The sequence below is a fragment of the Homo sapiens genome, chromosome 7 (genome assembly GCF_000001405.40).
Source record: "Homo sapiens chromosome 7, GRCh38.p14 Primary Assembly".
Lineage (NCBI taxonomy): Eukaryota > Metazoa > Chordata > Mammalia > Primates > Hominidae > Homo > Homo sapiens.
The window spans coordinates 39,684,493-39,705,519 of NC_000007.14; the positions used below are offsets into that span (position 1 = coordinate 39,684,493).

The following is a 21,027-nucleotide window of genomic DNA, read 5'->3' on the forward strand; positions in this document are numbered from 1 at the left end:
GCACCCAGTTCTTGGGTGCCCTGTACAGCCCGTATGTGAGGCACAGACCCATGGCAGATTGTCCTGGCCCATTTGTGATTGAACCTCTAGTAGCAAGAGCTGCTTTACACCGGTACAACCTAAAAGCAGGGGTGTCCAATCTTCTGGCTTCCCCGGGCCACATTGGAAGAAGAATTGTCTTGGGCCAGACATAAAATACACTAACGATAGCTGATGAGCTAAAAAAAAAAAAAAAAGAAAAAAAAAAGTTGCATAATGTTTTAAGAAAGTTTACAAATTTGTGTTGGGCATTCAAAGGGCCGCATGTGGCCCACGGGCCACAGGTTGGACAAGCTTGGCTTAAAGCATTTCTCAGGGTTAAGTCAGACTGCAAACATTTGTGTATTCATTCATTCATTCAATGCTTTTGCACTAAATGGCGGATTTTGCCAGCCATGTTAGTTACATTAAGCAGACTATTAACCCAAGTGAACATGGTCCTGAACTCACTGTTTCTGGTATACTAGAGGAATACTTATACTATTAAGTTGGTGCAAAAGTAATTGCGGTTTTGCCATTGAAAGTAATGGCCAAAACCGCAATTACTTTGGCGCCAACCTAATACATATTCAGGCAATTTCAACTTGTGATAAGGATTATGAAGGAAAAGTATCAGATGCTATCTGAGAGCACAGAGCAGAGGAGAACCTAATTTAGGTTGAGAGTTTCAGGTAAGGCTGAGACCCAAAAACCAAGAGGAGTTAGCCAGATGGAATAAGAATATGCCAGACAGAGGAAGCTGCATGGCAAAGGCCAAGAGGCTTAGAAAAGTGAAAAACAGAAGGAGACCGTTGTGGGTCTGATGCAGCTGAGCTAGGAAAGATTGGCCCAAGATAGAGAGGTAAACAGGAGGGGGCGTGGTTCTGGGAGCTGCAACTTAGAAAGCTGTTTGTGTCCGAAACAAGTCAAAGAGTTGCTGAGGACAAGGGGTGCAACCCCCTCAACCCCCAATAACAAAAAGTCTCTTTGCTTGGATCTCCACACACGTTCAGAGTGTTTGTTGTGGCCTCACAGGATTTTTTCTAAGGCCAAGTCAGCATGGCCGAAGGTCACTACAACTTCTGTAAGAACCTGGCCTCTCCACACTGAGTGTAAAAATGTATTAAACAGTGGATGCTCTGAGAAAAGTGAAGGCATGCTAGATCCAAGCATTTAAGTTAGATTGGCCAGCCATCCCAAGAAACAGATGTTCCAGTAATCTGTTAGTTGGGGTATACAGTGTTGAATTCTGTTTATAATTCTACCACCAAGTTGTTGGGATGGGATGTCTTCTTCTATAAAATAGCAGTAAGTAAGCATTTCAATGAGGTCCTTAATGTGAGGCATGATGTAGTAAACACATTAGCAGTCTTTTTTTGGTCACTTGTTTCTTACTCAAGAGAAACATCTTGGTCGGGGGTGCGGTGGCTCACGCCTGTAATCCCAGCACTTTGGGAGGCCAAGGCAGGCGGATCATTAGAGGCCAGGAGTTTGAGACCAGCCTGGCCAACATGGCGAAACCCTGTCTCTACTAAAAATGCAAAAGCTAGCCAAGCATGGTGGTGCGCGCTTGTAGTCCCAGCTACTCAGGAGGCTGAGGCACAAGAATCGCTTGAACCTGGGAGGTGGAGGCTACAGTAAGCCGAGATCACGCCACTGCACTCCAGCCTGGGCGACAGAGCGAGACTCCGTCTCAAAAAAAAAAAAAAAAAAGGAAGAAACATCTCTTTAATTATTGCCAATATAAATTAGTGTGAAAACAAAGAGATCCTTTAGCCTGCTTTCGTATCTGTGTGGACATATTGCAGTGCAGCTGATACCCCATTATTGTCAGCATGCAGTTGTACTGGGAAATTTTCACTTTTGATCATAGCTCATTACTGAAACCCAACTATTTTAAGAGAAATGCCCTTGAGTCATAGGCTTGTTTTATTGCCATGGTATTCTCTGATAAATGGTTCATGGTTTTTCCCCTAAGTGAGCATACTTCATTTGCCATCTGTTTAAAATCACTACAGATTGAAAACTAGTATATTGAACTCTAAGGACATATCTCTTTCTTACACTGGAATTCTAAAGAAGAATGTACTGAGCATTACTTATTCTTTCATTCTTCTTAGATTCTTCTTAATCCTTTGGTGAAAACTGAGACACAAAATGGCTGCAAATAAGCCCAAGGGTCAGAATTCTTTGGCTTTACACAAAGTCATCATGGTGGGCAGTGGTGGCGTGGGCAAGTCAGCTCTGACTCTACAGTTCATGTACGATGAGGTAAGTGCTAATTTTATAATGGATCAAAGTTTAGGCTTTCAGAGAGTATTTCCCTAGCTTAGTTTTGGTGCTATTTTGTATGGATTGTTTGAATCCTTGAAATTACTAATAATTTTTTTTTCATTTTTGTGTTTAGAGCCATCTGTACATAACTTGATTTTACAAATCAGGAACTTATGGTCCTTAAAAACCTCAGGCTTTAAAAACAAAGCTAAACTAAAAACAGTACGCCTTTTTTTAGTAATCTAACTTTAGCTTTTTTGTTTTTAGGTTTTATTGGCGATTCCTACCTTTAATTAATAGAAGTGGTGTGTATAATACTTAAGAGAGACTTGAGGTTAACATATATAAAATATCTTTTAGGCTGGGCACGCACGGTGGCTCACGCCTAATCCCAGCACTTTGGGAGGCCAAGACAGGCAGATCACAAGGTTAGGAGATCGAGACCATCCTGGCTAACACGGTGAAACCCCGTCTATACTAAAAATACAAAAAATTAACTGGGCATGGTGGCGGGTGCCTGTAGTCCCAGCTACTCGGGAGGCTGAGGCAGGAGAATGGTGTGAACCTGGGAGGCGGAGCTTGCAGTGAGCCGAGATCGCGCCACTGCACTCCAGCCTGGGCGACAGAGCAAGACTCCATCCCAAAAAAAAAAAAAAATTCTTTTAATAAACTTGATGAAAAAGTCGTTTATTGTGTGTTTGGCATGGCACTACATTCATCATTAAGCAGGCCAAGTCACTAAAATTTATAATTACCACACAGGTTACAGATTTGTATGCATGTATTCATATCAGACTTCATCATCCCTGAGTTAAGGTGTAGCCTATATATAGCAATATAGTCTTTCCCTGCAGGAATGTTATCAAGTCTTAATGATTTAAGAGTTGGTAATCCAATGTAAGCATTTATCCTCACTTCTGTTTTCTCCCAACAAAAGCCAGGTTTTATGGTTGCAGACAACTTAGTCCTCGTAACAATCTTGTGTGGGAGATGGTGATATCCCCATTTTACAGATGTGAAAACAGAACCTCAGAGAGTTACCCAGCTTACCCAAGAAAAGTGATCTGTGATGAGCAACAAAGTGTTAAACCTAGTCTTTTGACTAAAAATATCCCTACAGATTTTTCCCACCCCATGTCTTTATCTCTTTTTTTACCTTTTATTTTTTTTAAATAGAGACCAGGTTCTCACTCTGTTGCCCAGGGCGATCCTCCCACCTTGGGCTCCCAAAGCTGGGATTACAGGTATGAGCCAGTGCACCCAACCCCCCATGTCTTTTTCTGTTGCCTGTGTCTCACCATTCTTTTTACACACATACATAAAACCCTTAAATCTGTCAGTTGCCATGCTTGTTAGTGAGCGAATTAAAAAGTTTAGGGAAGGCGTAGGCTGGAGAATCACTTGAGGCTAGGAGCTTGAACCAGCTGGCAACAAAGTGAGACCCTGTCTCTATGAAAAAATTAAAAAATTAGCTGGGCGTGGTGCTGCATGCCTGTTTTCCTAGTTACTTAGGAGGCTGAGGCAGGAGGATCATTTGCATTGGAGGTCACAGTGAGCAATGACTGTGCCACTGCATTCCAGCCTACACAACAGAGCAAGACCCCTGTCTCTTAAAAAAAAAAAAAGTTTGTGGAGAGTGGATTGAAATGGTACTTTAAATGAAATTACTGATTTATTCATTGAATTCTTTGTTTCATACTGTTTATTTAAGAGCTAATCTTCTCTCAGACTAATCCTTAAATCAGTCTCCTCTTGACAATAAGGAAGCCAAAAGTAAGAATATTCACATGCCTAATTTTTTTTTTTTTTTTTTTAAAGATAACGTCTTGCTCTGTTGCCCTGGCAGTGATGCAGTCTCAGCTCACTGCAACCTCCACCTCCCAGGCTCAAGCGATCCTCCCATTTCAGCCTTCCAAGTAGCTGAGACTATAGGCATGTGCCACTATGCCCAGCTAATTGTTGTATATTTTTGTAGCGACGGGGTGTATCCGTCTGTTCTCACACTGCTATAAAGAAGTACCTGACACTGGGGTAATTTATGAATAAAAGAGATTTAATTGACTCACAGTTCCACAGGCTTAACAGGAAGCATGACTAGGAGGCTTCAGGAGACCTGCAATTGTGGCAGAGGGTGAAGGGAAAGCAAGTGCATCCTCACATGTTGGGACAGGGGAGGGAGAGAGAGAGAGTGTGAGCGAGCACACGCGAGCAAGGGAGGAAGTGCCACACACTTTAAAAACCATCAGATCTCGTGAGAACTCACAATCTTGAGAACAGCATGAGGGAAATCTGCCCCCATGATCCAGTCACCTCCCACCTGATCCCTCCCCCAGCATTGGGAATTACAGTTCAACATGAGATTTGGGTGGGGACACAGAGCCAAACCATATCACGGGGTTTTGCCATGTGTCCCAGTCTGATCTTGAACTAACTCCTGGGCTCAAGTGATCCACTCACCTCAGCCTCCCTAACTGCTGGCATTACAGGCATGAGCCACCACACCCAGCCCACATGCCTAACTTGTAATGAATGACTAAGCACATTAATAGCATGTAAATGTGGTGGAATGTTATTTAACTTTTACAGTTACAAATACACTGTGTCCATTTTTAAAATAATTATTTATTGAGTATCTCCCATGTAACAGGCACTGTTATAGGCTTTAGAGATATAATGATGAATAGCATATGCAAGGTCCCTGCTCTGAGGGGTTAAATTCTAATGACAAGATACAGTCATAGCAAATAAATAAGAATGTATCAGATAATGAAAATATTTACAAGAGCTAATAAAAAACCCACAAATGTCTGTGTGTAAATGAATACATGCTAACAATGATATCAAAAGATAGGCCGGGCCTGGTGGCTCACACCTGTGATCCCAACACTTTGGGAGACCAAGGCAGTAGGATTATTTGAGCCCAGGAGTTCAAGACCAGCCTGGGCAACATAGTAAGGCCTTGTCTGCGTACATATACACATACTTATCATCTGCCTGCCTACGGTTTATCAAGGTATATTAAAGTGAGATTTATGGGGCTGACGATAGGAGTGGGAATGTAAAGTTGTTGAATTGTACTATTTAAAAAATCAAAAGTTTGGGAAGAAGTCTCATAAAGTTTAAGATTTGACTTTCTGTTGAGTAGTGTAAATCACTTTATTGACTTAGTTCATTTTAGAAAAAGAAAGGATTTAATGATACTTTCAGTGCTTACCAAAATATTGACCTTTAAGTTATTTCCACAGTTCTAGCATGAAAATTTATATTCAGAGTTACATAGAAAAAAGACTATTATAAATTTGGTAAAATATATGTGTAATAGTTTTTGCAGGTATTGTGTTTTAAGGAAGAAAAGCTGTTTTCAAGCTGTAAACAGCCTAGAGGTAATAACTCAGCCCTCTCTGTTTGCAAATGAGGAAACCAAGAAATTGTCTAAAATTAAAATTAGTGTAGTTTTTACCATTGGAGGAATCTGGGCAAAGGGTATACAGAACTCTTCTTGTACTATTTTGGCAGCTTCACATGAATTTATAATTATTTCAAAATAAGTTTTGAAACGTAATAATTAAAAAATTGGTGTGTTTTTATCTTTTCTAGTTTGTGGAGGACTATGAGCCTACCAAAGCAGACAGCTATCGGAAGAAGGTAGTGCTAGATGGGGAGGAAGTCCAGATCGATATCTTAGATACAGCTGGGCAGGAGGACTACGCTGCAATTAGAGACAACTACTTCCGAAGTGGGGAGGGGTTCCTCTGTGTTTTCTCTATTACAGAAATGGAATCCTTTGCAGCTACAGCTGACTTCAGGTATGTCCTAGAGTAATGTTGTTGCTTGTGACATACTATACAACAATTTCTTCCCCAGAAACAAGTAGACAACTAGAGGTTCTAACTTGTTAGTCTTTTACTCTGTCTCTAATTGTGTTTATTCCCTTTTTGATATCAGTATATGACTCTCTCTACTGTGTTATGTACACACAGTTAGGATACTTTGCATAGTCTTACAGCTCTCCCGGTGTCACCTGTATTGGAGTTTGATTTTGTGACAGCTTCAGTTACCCAGAGTCTCTATGAGTTACTGAAGTATTTCTCTTTAGTGTAAACTACTACTGCCATAACAGTTCATACTTAGAGCACATAATGGAGCTTACTCAGGTTTTACATCTTTCTCTGTTAGTCATGGTTTCTTAGCACCTATGTAATGCTCAGTAGGCACGTTGCCATCCTCCTCAAAATATAGATGCCCTGATAGCACAGACTGAATTTTTTGTTTCTTTTTCTTATTACATGGGAACCTTCAGAATGAATGAATTTTTAATAGAAATAATATCTCTGTAGATGGGCACATTAGATTGTTATATAATATTTTTTATTATTTATTGTTTAATTAAAATCTGGAATCCATTTGGTTTTAGAGGAGGTGGTTTTGGTGAAGGGGAAAGAGGTGCTCCTCTATATTTAAGAGGTATTTGGCATAGAGTTCTTGCGTGGTCTTGCAAATACTACATGCATAAATCAAGTGTTCTTTAATTAAATGATACATATTTTTATTTCTGTGTGAAGTGTCTTACTTGATTATGGAGGACAGAAAAGAAGCATGCAATGTATCCTCTATTTTCAAGATTCACACAGCCTAGATGAATATATAAGGCATTTAACCAAGAGCAAGTTAGTGACAAAGTAGGAACATGGGCAGTGGTTAGTGCAGAGGATCCGGGAGGGGAAAGAAGCTGGGAAACCTTCATGAAATAGATGAGCTTGAAGAAAAGAAGGATTTTCACACATAAGGAAAGAGGGCATTTCAGGTGGGTGAGCAAAAAACTAAACCAAGGCTTTTACAGAGCATTCCTTTTTATGCACACTTGAAAATCTCAAGAACTTATTCTAAGAGAGCATTCTTTGCAAAAAGCAGGTAATTGAGAAACTCTGAAGTATAGATTTATTCATAAAGTTTGTTGGTTTCTATGAGGAAGAAATTTCATATATGATGACATGCAAGGGATGGCAGACTCTGGTAGCTTGTAATTGTGGGAGACATGTTGAAAGTTATATAAATGCCAATGCTTATTCATTCAGCAGATATTTGAGTGCTTATAATGTAGCAAGTCTTGTTCTAAGTAATGGAATAAATGTTATCACCATAGTCACCAAAGTCAAAGTGATATTTCAAGAGAATAAGGTATTTTCATGCAAGAATCTTGGGCTATTACTATTATAGAAAATAAGGATGATTCATTACTCTTAGGGCGTACCTCCAATGCCTCTGCCATAAATAAAAATGACCCTAGTGACTCACCAACAATATTGTTGGTGAAAGGCTTTTTTGAAAAGGTCTGAATGGTTACAGTGGGCACTCCACGTGGTCTAAACTGCAAGAGTAGCAAAAATAAATAAAACAGTAGCATAAATATCAGCTCCTCCCTTTAGCCTTCCTGGTCATCTCTGTGATCCACAAAATCCATTGCTTCCTCGTCTATATATGCAATGTCCTTGCTGCAGCTCCAGTATCACACTTAACACCTATTCCTTTCCTGTCTCAGTATCCCCAGTACCTATATATGCCATAGTTCATAGCATATAATCTATAGTAAGTACATGTTTAGTAAACATTTGTCTTGATTCAAAAACCTTTACCTTTTGGTTTTTACTTTCCTATGTCAAAAATGAAGTTGGACCAGATTGTACTTCCCTATTCTGAAATTCTGTAATAGCCTCTAAAACTGTATTTAAAGGGAGTATTATATTAAGCAAAATGTATATGAAGTTTATACCGTAGAATTACTTTTCTCTGACATCCAGCAAAGTTGCTAGTAAAACCAATCTATTAACTCTAAAAAAATAACATCTTCTCACCTCGGAACCCAGTAGGTCCAGGTTTTCTACAGCCGTGTTTCTGCCAGCATCAATCACACTATGCTTTTTCAGTATTGGTTTCCCTGCAGCACCTGACTCAGAGTAGCTTAGTAGGTATTTATTAAGAAATAAATTAATGACTATATATACACACATATGACCAGAGGTGCTAGAGTTACAAACACCTGAGTCAGTCTCACCTTCCAAGTGGTGAGACTGAGTGGCAGGTTAGTTGTTGTTAACAGCTTCATTCAGTGGCGATCATTAGAAAGTCAGGAAACAACAGATGCTGGAGAGGATGTGGAGAAATAGGAATGCTTTTACACTGTTGGTGAGAGTGTAAATTAGTTTAACCATTGTGGAAGACAGTGTGGCGATTCCTCAAGGATCTAGAATAGAAATACCATTTGACCCAGCGATCCCATTACTGGGTATGTACCCAAAGGATTATAAATCATGCTGCTATGAAGACACATGCACATGTATGTTTACTGCGGCACTACTCACAATAGTAAAGACTTGGAATCAACTCAAATGTCCATCAATGATAGACTGAATTAAGAAAATATGGCACATATACACCATGGAATACTATGCAGCCATAAAAAAGGATGAGTTCATGTCCTTCGCAGGGACATGGATGAAGCTGGAAACCATCATTCTGAGCAAACTGTCACAAGGACAGAAAACCAGACACTGCATATTTTCACTCATAGGTGGGAATTGAACAATGAGAACACTTGGACACAGGGCAGGGAACATCACACACTGGGGCCTATCGTGGGGTGGGGGACTGGGGGAGGGATAGCATTAGGAGAAATACCTAATGTAAATGACGAGTTGATGGGTGCAGCAAACCAACATGGCACATGTATACCTCGGTAACAAACCTGCACGTTGTGCACATGTACCCTACAACTTAAAGTATAATTAAAAAAAGAAAAAAGAACAGCATTCAGGCCGTCATTCACAAAGGAAACTGGTTAAGAAAGTCACAGCACGCCCTAGAAAAAGATTGTGATTGGCCAAAATGCCCTTCACAAGTACTGCATATATTTAATAGTAATCATGGTGAAAGTTGACATGGTTTTTGCAAGAAATCATGTGAGTGGTAGGAAGCATCATAGCACTGTGTAGTGCTGTACGTCTTAGCCTGCATCACCCAGATACCGTGCTTGTTTGACTTCTAAAAGGATGTTTAAGACAAATACAAATCAGTGAAGAATGGAGTTTACTTTCTCTGTGGCCCATAGTCTGTGCGGCCTATAGTCTATTCACATTAGAAAAACTGAGAGTTCAGGTCCAAAGAACTTCCTATGAGTGTTGAATGTGTTAGAATGTTTGCTACATCGTGAGTAATCAAGTGAATGAAGTAATAATAATAGTAACACTACCTCATACTCATGCAGCACTTACCAGGACCAGACTGTTCTAAGCATTCACATATATAAATTAGTTTCTCAAACAACACTGTGAGATAGATACTACTGGATTTCATAGATTATAAGATGTACATTTTAACATCTCTGAGGGCTATGTCTTATGATATGGCACCATACAGTTATAATTGCCAGCAGTTTTTCTTAGAGTCCATAAAATAAGATTGAGAACTAGTGATGTCTTAAATTTGACTTTTTTTAAAAAAGTGACATCCAAATTTATAAATGAAGAAACAGAAATGCAGGGAGGTTAAGTGGCTTGCCCCAGGTTGTGCAGTCAGGAATAGCATAGAGTTAAAATGCAGGAGGTCTGCCTTTGTATTCTCTTGGTATCTACTGTACAAGTTCATTGTGTGCTCTGGAGTTGGATTTCTCAGTCCTGGTTCTACTTAAGTGTGTCTCTGAGCAAGTTAACATAATTTCTGTGTGCATCAGTTTCCTCATCTGTAGGACAAGAATAATAATGATACTAACTTCATAGGTTTAGGTAAGGATTAAATGAGAAAATGTATGTAAGTCCTGAAAGCAGTGTTTGGCACATTGTGAGCGCTGAGTACAATGTTAGTGGTAGTAGTGTGGTGGTGGTATTTAGGAAACATTGTCTAAGAAGCACAGAATAGAATAATCTGAAAATAAGGCAAGAAGATTTTTCCCAGTTTTTCAAGCATCACTATAAAATGCCTGCAGCCAGGTACAGTGGCTCACAGCAGTAATCCCAGCAATTTGGGAGGCTGAAGCAGGCAGATCACTTGAGTTCAGGAGTTCAAGACCAGTCTGGACAACATGGTGAAACCCCATCTCTACAAAAAAAAGAAAAAAAGAAAAAAAAATTAGCTGGGTGTGGTGGCGCGTGCCTATAGTATAGGTGTGCTACTCGGGAAGTTGAGGTAAGAGAATTGCTTGAGCCCAGGAGGTTGAGGCTGCAGTGAGCCGTGATCATGCCACTGCACTACAGCCTGGGTGACAGAGTAAGACCCTGTCTCAAAAAAAAGAAAAAAAAAAAAAGTCTGCAAAACCAAGTGTACTTTGCTGATTTGCCATTCTAATATCCCTTTAATTTTCTCATTTTCTCTTATTCTAAAATATAGTCGTCCCTCAGTATCAGGGCAGGGCAGGGATTGGTTCCAGGACTCCTTATGGATACCGACATTCATGGATAGTCAAGTCTCTTCTATAAAATGGTGTGGTATTTGCAGATAGCCTATGCACATCCTCCCATGTACCTTAAGTCATCTCTAGATTACTTTTAATAGCTAATACAGTGTAATTGCTATGTAAATAGTTGTTATTCTGCATTTTAAATTTTGTTTTACTTTTTATTGTGGCATTTTTTTGGTTTTTGGTTTTTTTTTTTGAGACAGGATCTTACTCTGTCATCCAGGCTAGAGTACAGTGATGTAATCATGGCTCACTGCAGCCTTGAACTCCTGGGCTCAAGCGATCTTCCTGAGTAGCTAGGACTACAGGTGCACACTACTACACCCAGCCAAATTTTTTTTCTATTTTTTATAGATATGGGGGTCTCACTGTGTTGCCTGGGCTGGTATTGAACTCCTAGCCTCAAGCAATCCTCCTGCCTCAGCCTCCCAAAGTGCTGGGTTTACAGGTATGAGCCACTGCACCTGGCTGTTTTTGGGGTTTTAAAAGATATTTTTTATTTGCAGTTAGTTGAGTCTGTGGATACAGAGGGCTGACTTTACTTACGTTCCTATAGCTTCAACAGCTCTTAATAATTTCAAAGGAGAGGCATTTTTAAGGTAGCAAATTATTGAACCTAAGTCTTACAGATTTCCTTTTGTTTTTTGATTTTACAAAAAAACATTTCTTCCAGTAGATTAATAATGAGCTAACATTTTTTGAATATTTACTCTGTCGATGCAGTTATAAGCACTTCACATTTAACCCTCATAGCAACTTTATAAGGAAGGTATAATTGTTGGCTCCATTTTATAGATGAGGAAACTGAGGTAAGAAGTACTTTGCACTTTGCTCAGACTTACATGACTAGGAAGAGCAGAACCATGGTACTTTAAAATTGATGACACTTTCACAGTGGATAACTTACCTCTCAATGCAAAATCTATGCTCAAGGTCTGACTTCCAGTAATTTCTGGCACATTTGGGTTTTGAAAAACAATTGGTGGGACCCTTGATATGATGCAATAAGAATAGCACTTTCTAAATCTTCCTCCCAAGAACCAATAACCCTACTTTAATCATGAGGAAAACATCTGACAAATCCCAATTGAGAGACATTGTACAAACTGCCAGCCAGCAGTCCTCAAAACTATTAAGGTCATCAAAAACAAGGAAAGTCTGAGAATTACCATGGCCAACTCAAGGCTAAAGAGACATGACGAAACTAAATGTCATGTGGCAACCTGGATGGGATCCTGGAACAGAAAAAGGATGTCAGGCAAAAAGCAAGCACATTTGAATAAAGTTTGGACCTTAGTTGCTAATACTGTATCGATATTGGTTCATTAATTGTGATTTGTGTACCACAGTAGTAGATGTTAACAATAGGGAAAAATAGGTATGGGGCAAACAAGAACTTTCTGTGCTATCCTTATAATGTTAATATTTCTTTTTCATTTTCTCTTATCCAGGGAGCAGATTTTAAGAGTAAAAGAAGATGAGAATGTTCCATTTCTACTGGTTGGTAACAAATCAGATTTAGAAGATAAAAGACAGGTTTCTGTAGAAGAGGCAAAAAACAGAGCTGAGCAGTGGAATGTTAACTACGTGGAAACATCTGCTAAAACACGAGCTAATGTTGACAAGGTAACACGTGACTCTTTACTACTGCATCATGTTAAAATAGGTTGGTTTGCTTTAACTTGGCTCCATTTTGTCTGGAGAGTCTATGAAACTTTCAAATAGAGGTTTAATCCTTGTTGATTTTTATCATCCCTGAATACTCAGATACATGTTAGGAATTTTAGTTCACCTTGTCCTTAGCTTCCCAAGAGACATTAAAACATGAGACACTACAGCTAAATGTACTTTTTTTCTTTTTAAAGCACTGATGGCATTCCTGACTTTTTTCCCCCCTTATCCTATTGAGTCTTTGGATAATTTAGAAGGAATCGTGTGAGTCCCAAGATTCCAGCACTAAACCGTTCTTACCTCTGACCTGACATCTACCCAACCCCACTTAAGTTCTTAAAAATAAGGGTACCTCCCAAGATGAAGAAGCCCCCAGATAAGAGCGTTTTAAAATCTCTCCTGCCACTCTCCACTCCCCACCCTCAACCTTTGTTTTCTCCTGAAAGAGAAAGAAAGGAAAGTAAACACTCTGCCCTCCTTTCTTGTCTTCTCGCTTTGTTCAGAGTGGCCCTTCCTGAAGACCAGATGTGGAACACCTGCAAGTACATTTCATCCCACTGCCCTAGACCAGCTCCAGTATCTAGAAAGACTGCTCACTGGGCTGAGGTAGCACAGAATCTTAAAGGCCTCCAAGTGGGGTCTTTCTTCAGCCTGCAAGTATCTAGGCTCTATAGTGTGCCTCTCAAGCTCCAATAGGCAAAAGAACTGCCTGTAAATCTTGATAAACACACATTCTTGGGTCTTACCCCTAGAGATTTGGATTCATTTGGTCTGGAATGGGGCCTAAGAATTTATGATTCTAGCAAGTGCTGCATGTGCTTGTAGATTTATAACCCTGATCCAGAAAGTACTAGGTTAAAAAAAAAGTTTGAGATTTGTTCTGTTATTTTGCTGTAGGTCTTAAGACAGTGTCGTTGCTGTCTTAAGCTTCTTAACTTTTTAAGACATTGTCAGATTCCTTTAGGTCTAAGATATCTGTACAAAGTGAGTACTACAGGATTCTATTCAGGATACGAATTTTTTCTAAGGTTAGGACTAGGGCAAGTGTGTGTGTGTGTGTGTGTGTGTGTATGTGTGTGTATGTGTGTTTTGCTTAAATAACAAAGTTATTTCTCACAGTTCTGGAGGCTGGCGAGTCCAAGATCAAGGTCTTAGACAAAATGATTCTGGAGAGGGCTTTCTTCCTGATTTGCTGGATTTCCTTATACCTTCCTGCTGCATCCTCACATGACAGAGAGAGAGAGATAGCTCTCCTGATTCTTCTTAGGATACTAATTCCATTATGACAACCCTACCCTAGTGACGTAATTACGACCCAAAGGCCCCATCTCTTATTGCCATCACATAAGGAATTCGGGTTTCAGTATATGAATTTTGGGGTGACACAAGCATTCAGTCCATAGCATGCCCTATCATAGTTTCCTGGGAACCATGGTTTCTGAACACAGTAACTAGGGCTTGGGTATTTCAGTTAGCTTCCATTTGGAAATGGGAACAAGAATACCTGCTTCATAGGATTATTGTAAAGATGAAATGAAATCACATATGTAAAATGCCCAGCCTGTGCCTGCCATTTCTAAGTCATTAGAAAATTATAGATTTGAAGAGACAATTTGTATGGCAAATATTTTTAAAATACTAATGAAAATATATGTTAAGATTGAGGGTGTTTGAGGTTTTAAAAGGCAACGTTGAACATTCTCATAGCATATATATACTTTTCTAATCGATGTTTCGAGTAGGTTGTAGAACACACTATAAAAACTATTTGAACCTAAGGGGAGTGGGGAAGAGATGCAGACACTGGCAATCCAAGATAGAAAGCTATATTGTAACAGTCCTTGTGGTGATCATCTGTTGGCATCAGAGGCCCTGGGAAGTATGGTGTCTGTATTAGCACAGCTCTTACAGGACAAAAGCCTAGGGAAAATGGCCCAAAAACAGCAACTGGCATGTCGTAGAAAGGAAACACAAATGGCCTTTAAACTGGAAGAGAGGCTCGGTCTCACTTATAAAAAGGGAAGTACAACTTTAAAATATAGTGGAATGTCCTTTTTTTACCCGTCACTTTGGGAGAAAAAAAGCAAAGAGGTTGAGAATAGAATATACTGTTAGCAAGAGTATAGAAAAACAGGAACCTCTCATATGTTGGTGGAAGGGCAGTTTTGTGATACCCATCAGAATTATGACCCAGCAATTTAAGTGCTAAAAATGTTATTTTTTTTTTTTTTTTTTTTTTTTTTTTTTGAGACGGAGTCTCGCTCTGTCGCCCAGGCCGGACTGCGGACTGCAGTGGCGCAATCTCGGCTCACTGCAAGCTCTGCTTCCCGGGTTCACGCCATTCTCCTGCCTCAGCCTCCCGAGTAGCTGGGACTACAGGCGCCCGCCACCGCGCCCGGCTAATTTTTTGTATTTTTAGTAGAGACGGGGTTTCACCTTGTTAGCCAGGATGGTCTTGATCTCCTGACCTCATGATCCACCCGCCTCGGCCTCCCAAAGTGCTGGGATTACAGGCGTGAGCCACCACGCCCGGCCTAAAAATGTTATTATACAGAACAAATTATGCACTCACGTATACGTGTATGTTCAGTGGTAGTCAGTGAAGCATTATTTTTAGAAGCAAAAGACTGGAAATATCCAAGTGTTCAGTAATGGACTGGTTTAAATAATGGAGTTTTGCCCAACCATTAAAAAGAAATGAGGATAGAACTAAATGTGCTGATATCAGATGATCTTCAATTATAAAGTAAGTGAAACAAAGTACAGAGTGGTGTCTGTAGCTTGCTGCCATGTGTTTTAAACACACATACATACACATTATCTATGTACACATCATAAGGATATGTAAGACTCTGGTACCTGTGGTTGCCTCCAGAGAATTAAGCCACAGTTTATGCTTTTTTCACTGTAAATACCCTTGTGAACTTTTTGCCATATTCATGGACACTTGGCCCTCAAACAACACAGATTTGAGCTGTGCAGATTTTTTTTTCACAGATGCAGTCTGCCTCCATGTCGGTGGGCTCTGCATCCACAACCAAATGCAGACAGAGAATACAGCAGGATGTGAAACCTGCATATGCGGAGGGCTGGCTTTTTGCATCCATGTGTTCTGCAGGGCCAGCTGCGGGACTTGAGTAGGTAGAGATTTTGGGATCCACGGGCATTCTGGAACCAATCCCCCATAGATACTGAGGTACGACTATGTTACTTTTTCAAAAAATAAAAAATAAAATAAAGGTATAAGGCCGTTTTAGTTACTATGGCTGTATAACAAAGTACACCCCAGAACCTTTATGGGTAAAACAGTCATTTATTCTGCTTATACATTCTGTGGCCAAGAATTTGAACAGGGCACAGTGGAAATGGCTTGGCTCTGCTCTACAGTGTCTGCTGCCTCAGCTGAAAGCTTCAAGTCTAGGCACTGGAAATACCTAAACTTAGGTTCTGAAGGCTTGTTCGCACATGTCTGGCTCAGCCAGATGATGCTGGCCATTATCCAAGGATGCCTCAGTTCCTCTCCAGGTGGGCTCCTCCATGTGGCCTTTTCCATGTGTGCTAGTTTAGGCTTCCTCACAGCACAGTGGGCAGAGTCTCCAAGGGCAAGTGTCACAAGAGAAAAAGAACCAGGCAGAAACCATACGGCCTTTTATGACATAGTCTCTGAAGTTATGCAGCATTATTTCTACCTCATTCTACAGGTTGGAGATAGTCACAAAGTCTCACCTAGGTTGAGAAGGAAGGGGAATAGACTTCAGCTCTTGATGAAAAGTGGCAGGATTCTGGAAAAGCACATAGGAAACATTGCTGTGGCCAGTTTCAGTTAATACAGTCTGCAGTCGGTGGTCACCTGTCCAAAACAGAATTACATTAAACGAGGCTGCTTGTAAAGTGAGGTGCAAATCCATACTGAAGACTATAATTTCATGTACTGCTACATCCTGCGGAGTGATTACCAGATAAAGTACCTCAGTGGCTACATAAAAGTCATTTGCAGCAACTATTCAATTTCCAGAATTAGGTTATACTTGTGTTTGTGGTTGTTTTCCTGAGGAAATAATCTAATAATCAGAAAAGCTAATATTTATTTGTGTTTATAAGAGCCAGGCACTGTGGTAAGTACCAACCATTTAATCCTTAATTGTGTGAGGCGTAGATACTCTTCTGATGCTCACTTTTTAGACAAGGAAGCTGCGGTGTGGGGAGATTACGTAACTGGCTCAAGGTCACGGGGTTCGTGGTGGCATCTGCAGCTTCTGGGTCTGGCCAACTCTGGCGCTCACATGCTCACATTCTTTCTTCAATATTTTACTCAAAACAATGGTTGGGGCCAGGTGCCACCACACCTATAATCCCTGCACTCTGGTAGGCCGAGGCAGGCAGATTACTTGAGCCCAGGAGTTTGAGACCAGCCCGGGCAACATGGCAAAAGCCTATCTCTACAAAAAATACAAAAACTAGCCAGGTGTGGTGGCGAATGTCTGTAGTCACAGTTACTTGGGAGGCTGAGACAGGAGGATTGCTTGAGCCTGGGAGGTGGAGGCTGCAGTGAGCCGAGATCATAACCACTACCCTCCAGCCTGGGTAATGGGAGTGAGACCCTATCTCAAAAACAAAACAAAACAATGGTTGGAATAGCTAGTGTATCTCCCATTTCTTATGTCATCCACTACTAGAAGCCTGATCACAAATTTTCAGGAATAGCAAGTGTTATTTCCTTTTATTAAATTGTGAAGTGTCATGCTTTGTCACAGAACAAATGCTAGCTCTCCATAAGATCATTGGCTCATGCGTTATCCTCATCTGGAGTCCAAATAGACCATTAGGTGGAAGTTTCAAAGATGCAGATTTTAAATCTAGTCATGAAAAAGTGTCATAGCCACCAGAGCTGGGGCATGGCATGTCTCAGGAAGCCATGCTTGTCACAGAGGAATCACTCCGAGGCTAAAGGAACATCTGGGCAATCCTACTTGTGTACTCATTGGATTCATTCAGTGACCTTGTTATTATCCTTCTAGCTAAATGCTCTGGGTCTTAATTCACGACTCCAAGGTTGCTCTTGATTTTAAGGAACATTTTGGCAGAATAGAGAGAAGTTGAGCAAATATTAACAGATGTCCAAAGGGGCAGTGTGATTTATTATGTCAAGAGAATCAGTTTTATGTCGAGGGAAGAATTTTGGTAGAAATACACTGTATTTTTTGGAAAATATCATATTTGGGTTTTTTCATTGTATAAGTAATACATGGATACATGCTTATATAAAGAAAAATTCATAATATAGAAACATAAGGAGGAAAAATGAGTCATTTTTCTCCCATAGTTCACTCCTTTCCCCTCCCTTTCAGTAACCAGTGCTAACACGGGTGTGTCTTTCCAGACGTTAAAAGCAGTCATACATATCTCTAAGGGAAAGTTTGCATTTGCTTGTTTTTTCTTCCTGTATTAATAGGATTTGTGTATATATATACACACACGTAATATATTTTGTATCTGTATATATAGAGCATATTTCTGTGGTGCGCTTTTTAAATTTTATGACAAATCCTACAGCTCTTCCATGTCACTGCATATAGATGTATCCACATTCTTTTTAAAACCACAAAGTATTCCATGGTTAGACTTTTCCATAATTCAGCCATTTTCCTATTAATGACATTTATTTGTTACAGCAGTGTTCACAATAGCCAAGATACAGAACCAACCCAAGTGCCAACAACAGATGAATGGATAAAGAAAATGTGATAGATATACACTATAGAGTACTATTCAATCATTGAAAAGGATGAAATCCTGTCATTCATGGCAATATGGATAGAACTGGAGACAATTAAGTGAAATAAGCCAGGAACAGGCAGTTAAACACTGCATGTTCTCATTCATATGTAAAAGCTTAGAAAAAGTTGATCTCATAGAAGTAAAAAATAGAACAGAGAATACTAGAGGCTGGAATGGGAGGGATAGGTAGAGATTTGTTAAATTATACAGAATTACAGCTAGATATGAGGAATGAGCTCTGGTGTACTATACTATTGTAGATGACTATACTTAACAATAATGTATAGTTTCAAATACCTGAAAGGAGGATATTGAATGTTCCCAACACAAATAATAAATGATTGAGATGATGGATGTGCTAATTACCCTGGTCTTAGTCACTGTACGTTATATGTTTCAAAACATCACTGTGTACTCTGTGAATATGTGTCAATTAAACAGACAAAATTCAATTGAAAATAAAATCAGAAATTAAACCTTCATCTAGTTTCCTTTTCATAGTGATTTATCTGCATTAGAAAGCAATACTGGGAGTATTCCAATAATTACATTTAGTCAGAATCGAGACCTCCTGTCCTAGCTAGTTAGCCAGAGACTTGAAACAGAGGTCTTCTGAAATTCCTAGTCTCTGGGGAAATAGAATCACAACCACTAGGGGCAAAAACCCATGGCTTTTATGTCATCATTGTGTTCCGTTCTGTTGCATACTTTGTGTGTGGGTGTGTGTTTTATACTTTTTTCCCTTTAACCGTTTATGCTCCTTCATGTTGGTCCTATGTCCGTTTGACTCAGCCCATTCATCTTTGATAGTTTCGTTGCTTTCTGACTTAAATTTTATGCTTCTTGCTGCAGATCAGGAATCAGCCATTCATCTAAGGAACTCAGGTTCTGTTTAGGAGGAATGATATTTAGCAGCCACAGCATAGTTACATAATTTGCTTGTTGCTATTGTGTTGTCATTTTTCAGTGAATAGTTCTAGGAAATAGGTATTATTAAAAGAAAAAAATGTGATCATGTTGTTATTTCCAATTCAAATTTAACATTACAAATGTTTACATCTTTGATTTTGTACTTGTATCTTTTCTCTTACACTGAAGATCTTGGTTCCTAAATTACATTAACATAATTCCTCCCTTGCATTAATAAAATAGTTCCAAAAGAGCAACATTGCTGTCACAAACAAACTACAAAATGAAGTTTGGCTGGGTGTTGTGGCTCACATCTGTAATTCCAGCACATTTAGAGGCTGAGACAGGTAGATCACCTGAGGTCAGGAGTTCGAGACCAGCCTGGCCAACATGGCAAAACCCCGTCTCTACTAAAAATACAAAAATTAGCCAGACATGGTGGTGCCTGTCTGTAATCCCAGCTACTTGGAAGGCTGAGGCAGGAGAATCTCTTGAACCCGGGAGGCAGAGGTTGCAGTGAGCTGAGATCACGCCATCCCACTCCAGCCTGGGCAACAGAGACTCTCTCAAAAAAAAAAAAAAAAAAAGAAGTTTAAGATTTGTCTTTGTTTTGTTTTGTTGGAATTTTGTTTCTATTTTTATCCTTAGCATCTATTCTAAAATAGATACTTTCTATGCTGTCTTATAGACCTTTGAAATAATTCCTCTAGTCAGTCTTACTTGTTTGTGTCTTGTTTGTTTGTTTTTTGAAATGGAGTCTCACTCTGTTGCCCAGGCTGGAGTTCAGTGGCACGATCTCAGCTCACCGCAACCTCCGCCTCCTGAATTCAAGTGATCTGCCTCAGCCTCTCGAGTAGCTGGGATTACAGGCATACGCCACCACACCTGGCTAATTTTTGTATTTTTAGTAGAGATGGGATTTCTCTATGTTGGCCAGGCTGGTCTTGAACTCCTGACCTCAGGTGATCCGCCCACCTCAGCCTCCCAAAGTACTGGGACTACAGGCATGAACCACCACGCCTGGCCAGTCTTAATTTATTTTAATTTGATTTTCAATTTTTAGGATTTGCTATTTTGTTTTATTTTTTATTTTTATTTTTTTGAGACTGAGTCTTGCTCTGTCGCCCAGGCTGGAGTGCAGTGGCACAATCTCGGCTCAGTGCAACCTCCACCTCCTGGGTTCAAGCAATTCTTGTGCCTCAGCCTTCCCAGTAGCTGGGATTACAAGTGCCCGCCACCACACCCAGCTAATTTTTGTATTTTTTGTAGAGACGAGGTTTCACCATGTTGGCCAGGGTAGTCTAGAACTCCTGACCTCAGGTGATCTGCCCGCCTCGGCCTCCCAGAGTGCTGAGATTACAGGTGTGAGTCACCATGCCTGGCCTAATTTTATTTTTGAATACGTAAAACACCTATGTCTCTAAAGTAGAAATTCTATAACAAGATACACTCAGAGATGCCTCACTCTTCCTTGTACCCTCCTCCCTTCTTCAAAATGAAATTGATTATTAGGGTTTGGTTTATTATTTCATTGTTCTTTGTGCAAGGGCGAACAAATCCATGTATACTCCTGCCCTACACACACACACAGGTAGCGCTCCATCTGCTATTCTGTGCCTTGCTTTTTTCAGACGCGTTAGGAAAGGCCACATCAGTCATGACATACACAGGCTTCTTTACTCACAGCACTCATTGTCGCTTTCATATTTCTTGCTTTAGTCTGAGTTTTTTAATTCTATAAGTAAAAACATTTTTTAAATCCAGAATTCAAAAGTGATCATAAAAGTTATTCCTCCTTTTATCATATACTCTCAGCCGTTTATGTGGAGTAGGAGTGTGAGTGTGTAGCCTTCCAGACCCTTCTGTGTTACAGAACAGAGGAATTTCTTATTGAAATTTAACTTTGAATTGTTATACTCGTAATTTTC

At 39.9% G+C, this 21,027-nt stretch overlaps 1 protein-coding gene across 3 annotated transcripts in view, besides 1 other annotated feature; it reads left to right on the forward strand.

Moving 5' to 3' along the window:
- The window catches only part of RALA (RAS like proto-oncogene A), an 84,549-nt gene that overhangs the window by 60,921 nt on the left and 2,601 nt on the right, over positions 1-21,027 (forward strand). For all 3 annotated transcript variants that reach the window (XM_047420682.1, NM_005402.4, XM_047420681.1), the window contains 3 exons: positions 2,139-2,289; positions 5,890-6,098; positions 12,193-12,367. In XM_047420682.1, coding sequence (XP_047276638.1) covers positions 2,176-2,289; positions 5,890-6,098; positions 12,193-12,367 — 498 coding nt within the window. In that variant the 5' untranslated portion in view covers positions 2,139-2,175. The remainder of the gene's footprint in view (positions 1-2,138; positions 2,290-5,889; positions 6,099-12,192; positions 12,368-21,027) is intronic.
- Positions 4,338-4,632: an enhancer, noted in NCBI's record as "tiled region #6412; HepG2 Activating non-DNase unmatched - State 15:Elon, and K562 Activating non-DNase unmatched - State 14:Gen5'". NCBI's record gives its function as "activates a minimal TATA promoter and a strong SV40 promoter by Sharpr-MPRA in HepG2 and K562 cells {active_cell/tissue: HepG2 | K562}" and the evidence as "EXISTENCE:reporter gene assay evidence [ECO:0000049][PMID:27701403]".